The 16,744-nt window shown below is 44.2% G+C and overlaps 1 long non-coding RNA gene across 2 annotated transcripts; it reads left to right on the top strand.

The window, feature by feature from the left end:
• Positions 1-3,768: 3,768 nt before the first annotated feature.
• On the top strand, positions 3,769-16,089 carry LOC105375294 (uncharacterized). 2 transcript variants are annotated; one of them, XR_927294.1, is made up of 4 exons: positions 3,769-3,811; positions 5,557-5,621; positions 5,895-6,037; positions 16,009-16,089. It is a non-coding gene; the product is annotated as an uncharacterized LOC105375294 (long non-coding RNA). The 2 variants fall into 2 exon arrangements; XR_927293.2 differs by lacking the exon at positions 16,009-16,089 and having other exon boundaries at positions 5,895-6,158.
• The last annotated feature ends 655 nt before the right edge of the window (positions 16,090-16,744 follow it).

Here is a 16,744-nt window from a genome sequence, read left to right as displayed (position 1 = left end):
TGGTCTTTTGTGGCTTTTTTTCCCTCTTAGCACAATGTTTTCAAAGTTCCTTTATGTCATAGTGTGTATCAATATTTCATTACTTCTATGGCTGAATAATATTCTGTGGTAGAGACACACTGCATTTTGTTTATCTGTTCATCAGTTGGTGGACATTTGGGTTTTTTCCATGTATTGGCCATTATGAATAATGGTGCTATGAAGATTGCTGGACAAGTTTTTGTGTGGACATATATTTTTATTTCTCTGGGATATATGCCTAGGAGTGAAATTGTTGCATTATACGACGACTGTACATTTAGCATTTTGAGACACTGCCAGACTGTTTTCTAAAGTGGCTACACCAATTGGGTGCAATGGCTCACAGCTGTAATCCTAGCTACTCAGGAGGCTCAGTTGTGAGGATGGCTTGAGCCCATGAGTTCAAGACAAGCCTGGGCAAGATAGTGAGACCCTGTCTTGATTTTTTTAAAAATCCAGTTAAAATGACAAGAAAAGAAATACCCAAGCAAAGTGGTTACATGATTTTATGTTCCCACCAGTAATGTATGTGGGGTTCCAATTCCTCCACATCTTCACTGACATTTTTTTTTTCTAGACAGGGGCTTGCTCTGTCTCTCAGGCTGCAGCACAGTAATGCCATCACAGTTCACTATAGCCTTGACCTCCCAGGCACAAGTGATTCCCTCATGTCAGCCTCCTGAGTAGCTGGGAATTATAGGTGCATGCCACCATGCCTGGCTAATTTTTATATTTTTTTGTAGTAATGGGGTTTGACTATGTTGATTAGGCTGGTCTCGTACTCCTGGCCTCAAGTGATCTGCCCACCTCAGCCTCCCAAAGTTCTGGAATTACAGGCTGAGCCACTGTGCCCGGCCTTCACCAACATTTGTTATTATCTTTTTTTTTCTTTATACCTTAAAGCAGTGTAAGAACAAGTATCTTCAATTATTCTAAACAAAAATTATAATCCCAGGGCATTGGGAGGGTGAGATAGGAAGATCTCTTGATGCCGGGGTTTTGTTTTTGTTTTTGTTTTGTTTGTTTGTTTGTTTGTATTTTTCTTTTTTTGAGACAGAGTCTCACTGTCGCCCAGGGTGGAGTGCGGTGGTGCGACCTCGGCTCACTGCAGCCTCCACCTCCCAGGTTCAAGTGATTCTTCTGCCTCAGCCTCCTAAGTAGCTGAGATTACAGGCACATGCCACTACTGCCCAGCTAATTTTTGTACTTTTAGTACAGATGGAGTTTCACCATGTTGGTCAGGCTGGTTTCTAACTCCTGACCTCAGGTGATCTGCCTGCCTTGGCCTCCCAAAGTGCTGGGATTACAGGCATGAGCCCTCATGCCCAGCCTGATTCCAGGAGTTTTAGACCAGCCTTGGCAACCTAGCAAGACCTCATCTCTGCAGAATATTTAAAAATTAGCCAGATGTGGTGGTGTGGTGGTGCCTGCCTTATAGTCTCTCTCTTTTTTTTTTTTTTTTTTACTTTTTGAGAAACTGTCTGTTTCTGTCACACAGGCTGGAGTGCAGTGGTGTGATCATGGCTCACTGCAGTCTGAAACTGCTGGGATCCAGTGATCAGTCCTCCCACCTCATCGTACCAAGTAGTGGGGACCACAGGTGCATGCCACCTGGGTCTCGCTATGTTGCCCAGACTGATCTTGAGCTCCTGGCCTCAAGCGATCTTCTCACCTTGGCCTCCCAAAGTGCAAGGATTACACGTATGAGCCACCATGCCTGACCCCTATCCTGCCTATTGAGAACCAAAAGAAGGATCCAAATTCTCCTTAGCTCAACTCGAGCCATTTCCCAATTGCTTCATCAGCAAGGAGCTGGTTATTGGGCTGTCCAGGCCTCCCAAACTGCACAGAAATGAGGTGAGGGAGTTTTTCTGCTGCTCCACTCTGTGAGGAGTTGGAGGATGATGTTTACTTGTTTGCAGAGAGAGATGCATTGTAGGCACCTTAGGATGGAGGGGACCCTGATTCCAATGTCCTTTTTTTTCTTTAGAAACAGGACCTTGCTGTGTCACTCAGGCTGGAGTTCAGTGGTCCTATCACGGCTCATTGTAGCCTCAAACTCCCAGGCTCAAGCGATCCTACCACTTCAACCTTCCCAGTAGCTGGGACTACAGGTAAGCACCATGGCACACAGTGATTATTATTATTCTTTTTTTAGTAGAGATGGGGCCTCTCACTATGTTGCCAGGGCTGGCCTTGAACTTCTGCACGCAAGGGAATTTCCTGGCTTGGCCTCCCAAAGTATTGTTATTACAGGGATAAGCCATTGTGCCCACCATCTCTGGTTCTTAACTTTCTGCCTCCCTCTTCCACATTTAAAGAACACTTGTAATTACATGGGCTCTTCTAGATACTCCAGGATAATATTATTTTAAGGTCAGCTGATTAGCAACATTAATTTCATCTGCACTCTTAATTCCCCCTTCCTATGTATTTGTGCAGTGTAACATAGGACATGAGCAATTGGTGGGGTCGGGGGGGTCATTACTTTGGCCACCACAGTAACTTTTTTGTGCCAGGTACTCAGCTAAGCCCTGGTGAATTAAGCATGAATAATACATACTCACTAATCTCCATCCATTCATGGGAGAAGCATTTCACCTCCCATGCTCCTGAGAATCTGGAGAGTCAAGGAAGGCTTCCAGGAGGAGGTGATGCCAAAGCGGACAAGTGACAGGAGCCAAAGCTAGCCAGGAAGAGAGTAGAGGTTTAAGGGGAAGTGTACTCTTTAAGCAGAGGGCATCACCTACTTCAGAGACTCCCAGAGGGGAAAGAGTGTGGATTCAGGATTCAGCTCCTTATGAGAATCTAATTCCTGATTCAGGGGGCAGATGAGACTCAGCTGGACTCCACAGCAGGTAAAATGGAGAGGGGCAAGCAGTGAGGCTGCTTTGCAAGGCAGGGCAGAGCAGGGGCTTTTAAGGAGTTTGGACTTAATCCCCGAGACAAGGAGAAGTGATGTAAATGGGGGAGTAATGTGATGAGATTCATGCATTAGAGACATGGCTCAGGCTGCTGTGTGGAGAAGGCACCACGGGGAGCAGATGGCTCAGTGGGTGTGCAGGAGACCTAAAGCAGGGGACACACTGAGTTTAGGGAGAGGTTTTTAAAATAGAAGAAGTTTGAGTAATTTAGATGATGGTGGGAAGGAGCTAAAAGAGGGGGATAGGTTAAAGATACAGGGAAGTGGGAGGAAGAACTGACAAGTGAGGTTCCAGAGAGGGCCGGAGAAGAGGAGATTCCCATAGGGGGATTAGCACTTTCTTTTCTTTTCATTTTCTTTCTAAGACAGGGTCTCTGTCGTCCAGGCTGGAGTGCAGTGGCAGGATCTTGGCTCACTGTAGCCTAGACTTCCCAGGCTCAAGGGACCCTCCCACCCTAGACTCCCAAGTAGCTGGAACTACAGGTGTGTACCACTACCACACCTGGCTAATTTTTCTCTTTTCTTGGTAGACCCAGGGTCTCATTATGTTTGCCAGACTGGTCTCCAACTCCTGGCCTCAAGTGATCCTCCTGCCTAGGCTTCCCAAATTGCTGGGATTACAGGCTTGAGTCACCATGCCTGGCCTCTGCTAGTTCTGTATTCTGTAGAGTTGTCTTTAATTTGTGCTAGTGTGTCCCTCATTATGCCGATCCTCTGTTAAAATTAATATTTTTTGTTTTGAGATGGAGTGTAGCTCTTATTGTACAGGCTGAAGTGCAATGGCACGATCTTGGCTCACCGCAACATCCGCCTGCCAGGTTCAAGCGATTTTCCTGCCTCAGCCTCCCAAGTAGCTGGGATTTACAGGTATGTGCCATCACACCTGGCTAATTTTATATTTTTAGTAGAAACGGGGTTTCTCCATGTTGGTCAGGCTGGTCTCAAACTCCTGACCTCAGGTGATCCACCTGCCTCTACCTCCCAAACTGCTGGGATTACAGACGTGAGCCACTGCACCTGGCCAAAATTAATAATTCTTATATTAAATTTACATATATTGTTTTTCTTCTTTTTTTTTTTTTTTTTTTTAATACCGGGTCTCATGCTATCACCCAGGCTGGAGTGCAGTGGCACAATCTCTGCTCACTGCAACCTCCACCTGCCAGGCTTAAGCAGTTCTCCTGCCTCAGCCTCCTGAGTAGGTGGGATTACAGATATATGCCACCACACCTGGCTAGTTTTTGTGTTTTTTGTAGAGATGGGGTTTCACCATGTTTCCCAGGCTGGTCTCAAACTCCTGAGCTCAAAGCGATCCACCCGCCTTGGCCTCCCAAAATGCTGGGATTATAGGTGTGAGCCACTTTGCTCATTCTAGTTTAAACTTTTGAGTGGTTTGTGTCTCCTGATTGGACTCCTACAAATACAGAATTGATGATAGGAAGGATTCCAGGAGATAGACGCACACAGATGGGATTTGGGCATAGGTTTGGTTATCCAAGGAGCAGTGCTCAGCTGCTTTCCAATGGGACATGGGATGCTGGTCATTTCCAGGAAGTGACCTCACAATGACTCAAGCTACCACTTACTGTTGATTGTGATGAAATGCCAGCTGAGCCATAGGCCCTGCGAGCTTAGGAGTGCTACACTTGAACACTGTGGCAGTAAATATGACTCTGAAGAAGGGCATGGGATGGATCCTTTCAGATGCACTTTAGCAGGGGTCTCCAACCACAGGGCCACAGAGCCGGAGGTGAACAGTAGGCGAGTGAGGGAAAACTTCATCTGTATTTCTAGCCCTCCCATCACTTGCATGACCACCTAAGCATGATGTCCTGTCATATCAGCAGCAGCATTAGATTCTCCTAGGAGCACGAACCCTGTTATGTGCATGTGAGGGATCTAGGTTTCATGCTCCTTATGAGAATCTAATGCCTGATGATCTAATGCCTGGGGTGACTGTCTCCCATCACCCCAGATGGACAGTCTAGTTGCAGGAAAACAAGCTCAGCGATCCCACTGATTCTACATTTTAGTGAGTTGTAGAATTATTTCATTATATATTACAATGTAATAATAATAGAAATAAAGTGCGCAATATACGTAATGCACTTGAATCATCCTGAAATCATTTCCTTCACCCCAGGTCTTTGGAAAAATTGTCTTCCACACATTCACTCTGTTATTTTTTGGTAGAGACAGGGCCTTAATATGTTTTCCAGGCTGATATCAAACTGCTGGCCTCGAGTAATATACCTCTCTCAGCCTCCCAAAGTGTTGAGATTACAGGCAGAAGCCACCACGCTCAACCAAGACTGAGTTTTTTAAACCAAATAAAAATTAAGTGAGATTACCTGAGCCCAGGTGGTCAAGGCTGCAGTGAGCCCTGATTGCAGCACTGCACTCCAACCTAGGTGACAGAATGAGATTCTGTCTCAAAAAATAAAATACAAATTAATCCTTTATGACATTCCCAGTAAGTTTCCCTCCTAAGTGTTCCCCAAAAGGCTATGAATTTAGTTAAAGTTTCACATACCCTTTAAAACATTTAAGAACTTACGTCTCTGTCTATGTCACCGTTCTATTTCAAAAGAATGTCTTTTTGTCACTTCCAGCTGGATCTACCATGAAAGACTTCAGAGTCCAGGAAGAGAGACTGACTGGGCAACATGTTATTCAGGTACAAAAAGACTTGGAATATAACTCAAAAATGATCAAATAATAGTTCATGCATCAAGTGCAATGGGAAGCTCTTCTGGAGGGTGAGAGAAGGTTCCAGTTAAGGTGACTTTTGAAGCCAAGTCCTGAAAGATGAGGAAGAGTTGTATGAGAATGGGGTGGGAAGGGGGAGGTGGAGGGGAATGGGCTGGGGTGGGATGGAGTGAGCTGCCCAGACAGGGAAACCAGCACTGTAACGACCTGAACAATGAAGATGGCACATTTTTTTTTTCAGGAAGTGGTGAATTAAGTGTGGCAGGAATACTTTGTAGCGACAGTAATTTGCTTGTATGGAATTTTGCCTGAGAGACCTCACTACAGTTTCTAATCTTTTGATGTTATCATCCATCCCTGTCCTTGTCAAATAGTTTGGAATAGGTATGATGATCACAATAACACCAAGCATAATATCTCATTAATTCTCACAAAATGACAGGTAGGTGCCACAGTTATCCTCATTTTATGAATGAAGTGATGAAGACTTAGGGATAATGAATGATTTGCCCAAGCTCACCTGGATATTAAGACTGAGTCAAATGTTGGGTCTGGTCTGACTTTAATGTTTGCTTTGTTCATGAGCACCACGTATTGCCTCTCCTATGCAGTTAAGCAGGTAGACAGGTCAAAGAAAAGCCTGTGTTTGTCTCTGCTCATGCACTTTTGACTGAACATGTGTGTGGAGTTTGTATACCAAGTTTTCCAGTGTTCTGGATATTAACTGGGTATCCCACAATTTTATTCTGACACTACGTGGAGTTAGCACAGACTCCACAGGTTAGGGGCTTAGTCCCACAAGACTATCCTCACTTCAGATGCCAGTGGCAAGTCCTAGGTTGTCACCTGTACTTTTGTCCAACCTGTTACAAATCAGGGTTTCCAATGACCCTCTTCTTGGGTTTAATGATTTGCTAGAATGGTTTACAGAACTCAGAAAAACAGTTTATTTTCTTTTTTCTGAGAAACAGGTTCTCATTTTGTTGCACAGGCTGGTGCGCAATGGTGCAGTCATAGCTCATTGCAGCATCAACTGCCAGGTCTCCAGTGGTCCTCCCACCTCAGCCTCCGTAGTAGCTGAGACTACATGCTTGCACCACCACATCTGGCTAATTTCTTTTATTTTTTTTTGTAGAGATGGGGTCTTGTTGTGTTGCCCAGGCTGGCCACAAATTCCTGGGCTCAAGTGATCCTCCCACCTCAGCCTCTTAAAGTGCTGGGATTACAGATGTGAGCCACCGTATCTGGCCAGTTCATTTCCTATTACTGGTTCATTGTAAAGGATACATCTCAGAAACAGCCAATGAAAGAGACGTACTTTCCGGATGCGGTGGCTCATGTCTGTAATTCCAGCACTTTGGGAGGCTGAGGTGGGAGGATTACTTAAACTCAGGAGTTTGAGATCAGCCTGGGCAACATGGTGAAAACCCATCTCTACAAAAAATTAGAAAAATAAAAATAAATAACCGGGTGCAGTGTTGTGCATCTGTTATTCCAGCTACTAGGGAAGGTGAGCCGAGAGGATGCCTTGAGCTGGGGACTGGGGAGGCTTAGGTTGCTGTGAGCTGAGATTGTGCCACTGCACTCCAGCCTGGACAAAAGAGCCAGACCCTGTCTCAAAAGAAAAGAAAGATGCCCAGGGCAAGGTAAGTTAGGAGGGGCACAGAGCTCCCATGTCCTCTGTTGAACATGCCACCTTGCCAACATCTCCTGTGTTCAGCAACCCCAGAAGCTCTGCAAACCCCATTCAGGGTGTTTATGGAGGCTTTATTATGCAAGCATGATTGGTAAAATCTTTGGCCGTTGGTGATTAAGTCAATCTTCAGCCCCTCTTCCTCCTGGAGTTCAGTGCATGAGGCTGAAAGTTCCAAGCCTCTAATCATGTGATTGCCCCCAAAGTTCTTAGAGGCTCTTGTGTTAGAAACCTGGGACCAAGACTAAATATTGAAAACAAAAGATGCTCCTATCATGTCTATCACTGAGGTCTTTGTAAGAGCTTTGGAAGCTCTGTGCCAGGAACCAGGGACAGAGATTAAATATGTATTTATTTTCTTTTTTTGAGACAGAATCTCCCTGTGTCATCCACACTGGAATGCAGTAATGTGATCATAGCTCACTATAGCTCTGACCTCCTGAGATCAAGCCATTCTCCCTCCTCAGCCTCCCAAGTAGCTGGGACTACACATGCATGTCACCCACACCCAGCTCGTTTTCGTAGAGATGAGATTTAGTTATGTCACCCAGGCCGATCTCAAACTCCTGGGCTAAACTGATCATCTCACCTCAGCCTCTCAAGTAGCTGGGACTACAGGTGCACACCACCATGTCCGGCTAATATTTATTTTAATTTTTTTCTAGAGGTGGGATCTCACTATGTTGTTCAGGCTACTTTCAAATTTTGGGCTTCAAGTGTTTCTCCTGCCTTGATCTCCCAGTGTTGGGATTATGGGTGGGAGCCACCATGCCCAGCAATCACAAGGATCTTTATGAAAGAAAGAGGGTAGGACAGTTAGAATTGGAGCAGGAGATGTGGTGATGGAAGCAGAGATCAGAGAGGGAGATTTGAAGATGCTTCACTTCTAGCTTTGAAGACGGAGTCAAGGGCCATGATCCAAGGAATGTCGGTGGCTTCTAGAAGCGGGAAAAGCTAAAGGAACACTATAGAGTCTCCAGAAGGAATGCAGCCCTGCTGACACCTTGACTTTAGCCTTAATAGACCTGTTTTGGGCTTCTGGGCCCCAGAACTGTAAAATGGTAGATTTGTGGTGTTTTAAGCCACTAAATGTAAGAAACTGCAAACTGTTGCAGCAGGAAGAAGAACATGAAGCCAGTCATGGTGGCTAATGCCAGCAATCCCAGCACTTCAGGAATTTAGACAGGAGGATCACATGAGGCCAGGAATTCAAGACCAACCTGGGCAACATGGTGAGACCTTGTCTCTATGAAAAATAAAACAATTGGCTGGGCACAGTGGCTCATGCCTGAAATTTCAGCACTTTGGGAGGCCGAGGTGGGTGAGTCACCTGAGGTCAGGAGTTCGAGACCAGCCTGGCCAACATTGCAAAACCTTGTCTCTACTAGAAATACAAAAATTAGCCAGGCATGGTGGCAAGCACCTGTAATCCCCACTACTTGGAAGGCTGAGGCAGGAGAATCACTTGAATCCAGGAGGTGGAAGTTGCAGTAAGCTGGGATTGCACCATTGCACTCCAGCCTGGGCAAGAAGAGTAAAACTCCATCTCAAAATTTAAAAAAAAATAAAATAGGTCTGGCAGCCAAGATGGCCGAATACGAACAGCTCCGGTCTACATCTCCCAGCATGAGCGACGCAGAAGACAGGTGATTTCTGCATTTCCATCTGAGGTACCAGGTTCATCTCACTAGGGAATGCCAGACAGTGGGCGCAGGACAGTGGGTGCAGTGCACCGTGCACGAGCCAAAGCAGGGCAAGGCATTGCCTCACTCAGGAAGCACAAGGGGTCAGGGAGTTCCCTTTCCTAGTCAAAGAAAGGGGTGACGGACGGCACCTGGAAAATCAGGTCACTCCCACCCTAATACTGCGCTTTTCTGATGGGCTTAAAAAACGGCGCACCAGGAGATTATATCCCGCACATGGCTTGGAGGGTCCTACGCCCACAGAGTCTCGCTGACTGCTAGCACAGCAGTCTGAGATCAAACTGCAAGGTGGCAGCGATGCTGGGGGAGGGGCGCCCGCCATTGCCCAGGCTTGCTTAGGTAAACAAAGCAGCAGGGAAGCTGGAAGTGGGTGGAGCCCACCACAGCTCAAGGAGGCCTGCCTGCCTCTGTAGGCTCCACCTCTGGGGGTAGGGCACAGACAAACAAAAAGACAGCAGTAACCTCTGCAGACTTAAATGTCCCTGTCTGACAGCTTTGAAGAGAGCAGTGGTTCTCCCAGCATGCAGCTGGAGATCTGAGAACGGGCAGACTGCCTCCTCAAGTGGGTCCCTGACCCCTGACCCCTGAGCAGCCTAACTGGGAGGAACCCCCCAGTAGGGGCAGACTGACACCTCACACGGCCGGGTACTCATCTGAGACAAAACTTCCAGAGGAACGATCAGACAGCAGCATTCGCGGTTCACAAAAATCCACTGTTCTGCAGCCACCGCTGCTGATACCCAGGCAAACAGGGTCTGGAGTGGACCTCTAGCAACCTCCAACAGACCTGCAACTGAGGGTCCTGTCTGTTAGAAGGAAAACTGACAAACAGAAAGGACATCCACACCAAAAACCCATCTGTACATCACCATCATCAAAGACCAAAAGTAGATAAAACCACAAAGATGGGGAAAAAACAGAGCAGAAAAACTGGAAACTCTAAAAAGCGGAGCACGTCTCCTCCTCCAAAGGAACGCAGTTCCTCACCAGCAATGGAACAAAGCTGGTTGGAGAATGACGAGTTGAGAGAAGAAGGCTTCAGATGATCAAACTACTCTGAGCTACAGGAGGAAATTCAAACCAAAGGCAAAGAAGTTAAAAACTTTGAAAAAAGTTTAGAAGAATGTATAACTAGAATAACCAATACAGAGAAGTGCTTAAAGGAGCTGATGGAGCTGAAAGCCAAGGCTCGAGAACTACGTGAAGAATGCAGAAGCCTTAGGAGCCGATGCGATCAACTGGAAGAAAGGGTATCAGTGATGGAAGATGAAATGAATGAAATGAAGCGAGAAGGGAAGTTTAGAGAAAAAAGAATAAAAATAAATGAACAAAGCCTCCAAGAAATATGGGACTATGTGAAAAGACCAAATCTACGTCTGATTGGTGTACCTGAAAGTGACAGGGAGAATGGAACCAAGTTGGAAAACACTCTGCAGGATATTATCCAGGAGAACTTCCCCAATCTAGCAAGGCAGGCCAACATTCAGATTCAGGAAATACAGAGAACGCCACAAAGATACTCCTCGAGAAGAGCAACTCCAAGACACATAATTGTCACATTCACCAAAGTTGAAATGAAGGAAAAAATGTTAATGGCAGCTAGAGAGAAAGGTCGGGTTACCCACAAAGGGAAGCCCATCAGACTAACAGTGGATCTCTCGGCAGAAACTCTACAAACCAGAAGAGAGTGGGGGCCAATATTCAACATTTTTAAAGAAAAGAATTTTCAACCCAGAATTTCATATCCAGCCAAACTAAGCTTCATAAGTGAAGGAGAAATAAAATCCTTTACAGACAAGCAAATGCTGAGAGATTTTGTCACCACCAGGCCTGCCCTAAAAGAGCTCCTGAAGGAAGCACTAAACATGGAAAGGAACAACCAGTACCAGCCACTGCAAAATCATGCCAAATTGTAAAGACCATCGAGGCTAGGAAGAAACTGCATCAACTAACGAGCAAAATAACCAGCTAACATCATAATGACAGGATCAAATTCACACATAACAATATTAACTTTAAATGTAAATGGACTAAATGCTCCAATTAAAAGACACAGACTAGCAAATTGCATAGTCAAGACCCATCAGTGAGCTGTATTCAGGAAACCCATTTCACGTGCAGAGACACACATAGGCTCAAAATAAAAGGATGGAGGAAGATCTACCAAGCAAATGGAAAACAAAAAAAAGGCAGGGTTGCAATCCTAGTCTCTAATAAAACAGACTTTAAACCAACAAAGATCAAAAGAGACAAAGAAGGCCATTACATAATGGTAAAGGGATCAATTCAACGAGAAGAGCTAACTATCCTAAATGTATATGCACCCGATACAAGAGCACCCAGATTCATAAAGCAAGTCCTGAGAGACCTACAAAGAGACTTAGACTCCCACACAACAATAATGGGAGATTTTAACACCCCACTGTCAACATTAGACAGATCAACGAGACAGAAAGTTAACAAGGATACCCAGGAATTGAACTCAGCTCTGCACCAAGCGGACCTAATAGACATCTACAGAACTCTACACTCCAAATCAACAGAATATACATTTTTTTCAGTACCACACCACATCTATTCCAAAATTGACCACATAGTTGGAAGTAAAGCTCTCCTCAGCAAATGTAAAAGAACAGAAATTATAACAAACTGTCTCTCAGACCACAGTGCAATCAAACTAGAACTCAGGATTAAGAAACTCACTCAAAACCACTCAACTACATGGAAACTGAACAACCTGCTCCTGAATGACTACTGGGTACATAACAAAATGAAGGCAGAAATAAAGATGTTCTTTGAAACCAACGAGAACAAAGGCACAACATACCAGAATCTCTGGGACACATTCAAAGCAGTGTGCAGAGGGAAATTTATAGCACTAAATGCCCACAAGAGAAAGCAGGAAAGATCCAAAATTGAAACCCTAACATCACAATTAAAAGAACTAGAAAAGCAAGAGCAAACACATTCAAAAGCCAGCAGAAGGCAATAAATAACTAAAATCAGAGCAGCACTGAAGGAAATAGAGACACAAAAAACCCTTCAAAAAATTAATGAATCCAGGAGGTGGTTTTTTGAAAGGATCAACAAAATTGATAGACTGCTAGCAAGACTAATAAAGAAGAAAAGAGAGAAGAATCAAATAAAGGGGATATCACCACCAATCCCACAGAAATACAAACTACCATCAGAGAATACTACAAACACCTCTATGCAAATAAACTAGAAAATCTAGAAGAAATGGATAAATTCCTCAACACTTACACCCTCCCAAGACGAAACCAGGAAGAAGTTGAATCTCTGAATAGACCAATAACAGGATCTGAAATTGTGGCAATAATCAATAGCTTACCAACCAAAAAGTCCAGGACCAGATGGATTCACAGCCAAATTCTACCAGAGGTACAAGGAGGAGCTGGTACCATTCCTTCTGAAACTATTCCAATCAATAGAAAGAGGGAATCCTCCCTAACTCATTTTCTGAGGCCAGCATCATCCTGATACCAAAGCTGGGCAGAGACACAACCAAAAAAGAGAATTTTAGACCAATATCCTTGATGAACATTGATGCAAAAATCCTCAAGAAAATACTGGCAGACTGAATCCAGCAACACATCAAAAAGCTTATCCACCATGATCAAGTGGGCTTCATCCCTGGGATGCAAGGCTGGTTCAGTATACACAAATCAATAAATGTAATCCAGCATATAAACAGAACCAAAGACAAAAACCACATGATTATCTCAATAGATGCAGAAAAGGCCTTTGACAAAATTCAACAACGCTTTATGCTAAAAACTCTCAATAAATTAGGTATTGATGGGACGTATCTCAAAATAGTAAGAGCTATCTATGACAAACCCACAGCCAATACCATACTGAATGGGCAAAAACTGGAAGCATTCCCTTTGAAAACTGGCACAAGACAGGGATGCCCTCTCTCACCACTCCTATTCAACATAGTGTTGGAAGTTCTGGCCAGGGCAATTAGGCAGGAGAAGGAAATAAAGGGTATTCAAGTAGGAAAAGAGGAAGTCAAATTGTCCCTGTTTACAGACGACATGATTGTATATCTAGAAAACTCCATTGTCTCAGCCCAAAATCTCCTTAAGCTGATAAGCAACTTCAGCAAAGTCTCAGGAAACAAAATCAATGTACAAAAATCACAAGCATTCTTATACACCAATAACAGAGAAACAGAGCCAAATCATGAGTGAACTCCCTTTCACAATTGCTTCAAAGAGAATAAAATACCTAGGAATCCAACTTACAAGGGATGTGAAGGACCTTTCAAGGAGAACTACAAACCACTGCTCAAGGAAATAAAAGAGGATACAAAGAAATGGAAGAACATTCCATGTTCACGGGTAGAAAGAATCAATATCGTGAAAATGGCCATACTGCCCAAGGTAATTCATAGATTCGATGCCATCCCCATCAAGCTACCAGTGACTTTCTTCACAGAATTGGAAAAAACTACTTTAAAGTTCATATGGAACCAAAAAAGAGCCCGCATCGCCAAGTCAATCCTAAGCCAAAAGAACAAAGCTGGAGGCATCACACTACCTGACTTCAAACTATACTACAAGGCTACAGTAACCAAAACAGCATGGTACTGGTACCAAAACAGAGAGATAGATCAGTGGAACAGAACAGAGCCCTCAGAAATAACACCACATATCTACAACTATCTGATCTTTGACAAACCTGAGAAAAACAAGCAATGGCGAAAGGATTCCCTATTTAATAAATGGTGCTGGGAAAACTGGCTAGCCATATGTAGAAAGCTGAAACTGGATCCCTTCCTTACACCTTATACACAAATTAATTCAAGATGGATTAAAGACTTAAACATTAGACCTAAAACCATAAAAACCCTAGAAGAAAACCTTTCAGGTTACCATTCAGGACATAGGCATGGGCAAGGACTTCATGTCTAAAACACCAAAAGCAATGGCAACAAAAGCCAAAATTGACAAATGGGATCTAATTAAACTAAAGAGCTTCTGCACAGCAAAAGAAACTACCATCAGAGTGAACAGGCAACCTAGAAAATGGGAGAAAATTTTCGTAACCTACTCATCTGACAAAGGGCTAATATCCAGAATCTACAATGAACTCAAATTTACAAGAAAAAGACAACCCCATCAAAAAGTGGGCAAAGGACATGAACAGACACTTCTCAAAAGAAGACATTTATGCAGCCAAAAAAACACATGAAAAAATGCTCACCATCACTGGCCATCAGAGAAATGCAAATCAAAACCACAATGAGATACCATCTCATACCAGTTAGAATGGCAATCATTAAAAAGTCAGGAAACAACAGGTGCTGGAGAGGATGTGGAGAAATAGGAACACTTTTACACTGTTGGTGGGACTGTAAACTAGTTCAACCATTGTGGAAGTCAGTGTGGCGATTCCTCAGGGATCTAGAACTAGAAATACCATTTGACCCAGCCGTCCCATTACTGGGTATATACCCAAAGGACTATAAATCATGCTGCTATAAAGACACATGCACACGTATGTTTATTGCGGCACTATTCACAATAGCAAAGACTTGGAACCAACCCAAATGTCCAACAATGATAGACTGGATTAAGAAAATGTGGCACATATACACCATGGAATACTATGCAGCCATAAAAAATGATGAGTTCATGTCCTTTGTAGGGACGTGGATGAAATTGTAAATCATCATTCTCAGTAAACTGTTGCAAGGACAAAAAACCAAACACTGCATATTCTCACTCATAGGTGGGAATTGAACAATGAGAACACATGAACACAGGAAGGGGAACATCACACTCTGGGGACTGTTGTGGGGTGGGGGGAGGGTGGAGGGATAGCATTAGGAGATATACCTAATGCTAAATGACGAGTTAATGGGTGTAGCACACCAGCATGGCACATGTATACATATGTAACTAACGTGCACATTGTGCACATGTACCCTAAAACTTAAAGTATAATAATAAAATAAAATATATATAAAAAATAAAATAAGTAAAATAAAATAAATAATAAAAAAAATGAGCCAGGGATGATAGCATATACCTGTAGTCCCAGCTACTAGGGAGGCTGAAGTGGGAGGACTGCTTGAGCCTGTGAATTTGAGGTTACAGTGAGCTGTGATTGCACCACTGCACTCCAGCCTTGGTGACAGAGTGAGATCTTGTGAAAGAGAGACCGAAAGAGAGAAGAAACAGAAAAAGAAAGAAAAAAGAGAAAGAAGACATGAGCATGGTGGGCATGGGGACAGATGGCAATGTTAAATAGAATGGTCAGGGGTGTCCTCCTAAGTGAAAATTGAGCAAAGACTTGAAGGAGGGGAAGGACTTGGCCAAGGTGCCGAGGGAAGAGGATTATAGGCAGAAAAACAGGATAAAGTGTCTGAGGTGTGTCTGAGGCTCTGGAAGGAGGCCAGTGGAGCAGAAAGATAGAAGGAATTAGGGGAAGGGATCAGTACATATCACATAAGCCCTGGGAGGTTATTGCTGGGGCTTGGGCTTTGGCTTTTATTCTGACTGAGATGGGAACTTTGGGAGGGTTCTGAGCAGAGAGGCGACATGATCTGTCTCCTGATTTGAAAGCATTCTCTGGCTGCTCATTTTAGAAAGGCTGTGGGAAGATTTGGGTAGAAGCATGGGGGCCAAGCTGTGGCAACATCCAGGCAGGAGATGTTAGTGGTCTTGACCAGGGTCGTGGTGGTGAGAGATGGTCAGAGGAGAGAAGTAGGGGAGGAGGCCAGGGAGTTGCTGGGTGGGAGTCCAGTACGTGGTGAAGACAGTCAACAGGATTTCCTGACAGACTGGATGTGGGGTGTGAGAGAAGGCAGGGGTCAAGGTTGAGTTTGATTCTCACTGAATTATTAAGTAATTTTAAAAAAACACTACTGCCTTTCTCAATCCTACCAAGTATGGGATGCTAGATTAAAGAAATCTCTTCATTTTCAGTGCAGTGGCTCATGCCTGTAGTCCCAGCTGTTTGGGAAGCAGAGATGGGAGTATCTTTTAAGGACAGGAGTTCAAGACCAGTGTGGGCAACATAGCAAGACCTCCTCTCTACAAAAATGTTTTTCAAAATTTAATAAAATAAATGCAGGTAGGCATGGTGATGTATACTTGTAGTCCCAGCTACTCAGGAGGCTGAGGTGGGCAGATCTCTTGAGGTCAGGAGTTTGAGGCCAGCTTGGGCAATATAGCAAGACCCCTCACTCTACAAAAAATTTAAAAAATAGCCAGATATGGTGGCACTCAACTGTAGTACCAGCTACTGGGGAGCTGAGACAGAAAGATGGCTTGAGCCCAGGAGATTGTGGCTGCAGTGAGCTCTAAGTACACAACTGCACTCCAGTCTAGGTGACAGAGCATGACCTGTCTCACAGTACAAATAGAAATACAAATAAAATAATGAAATCTCAAGTTAGAGCCTTTTGTCTCTGCAGCCCTTGCAACCCCGGAGCTGTGCAGTGGGGTTTGTCTCTGGGAATGAGGAGACCCCTGCCCAGTGTTGTTGCCTGACTAATCATAGTGTTTTTAAAAAATGTATTAATTGGGGTGGGTGCAGTCGTTCATGCCTGTAATCCCGGCACTTTGAGAGACCCAAGGGGATGGATCACCTGAGGTCAAGAGTTCGAGACCAGCCTGGCCAACATGGTGAAACCCCGTTTCTACTAAAAAAAACACAAAA

This window comes from Homo sapiens, chromosome 7, assembly GCF_000001405.40.
Source record: "Homo sapiens chromosome 7, GRCh38.p14 Primary Assembly".
Lineage (NCBI taxonomy): Eukaryota > Metazoa > Chordata > Mammalia > Primates > Hominidae > Homo > Homo sapiens.
The sequence above is the reverse complement of the archived record's forward strand: the minus strand, read 5'-3'. Positions and strand labels throughout refer to the sequence as shown.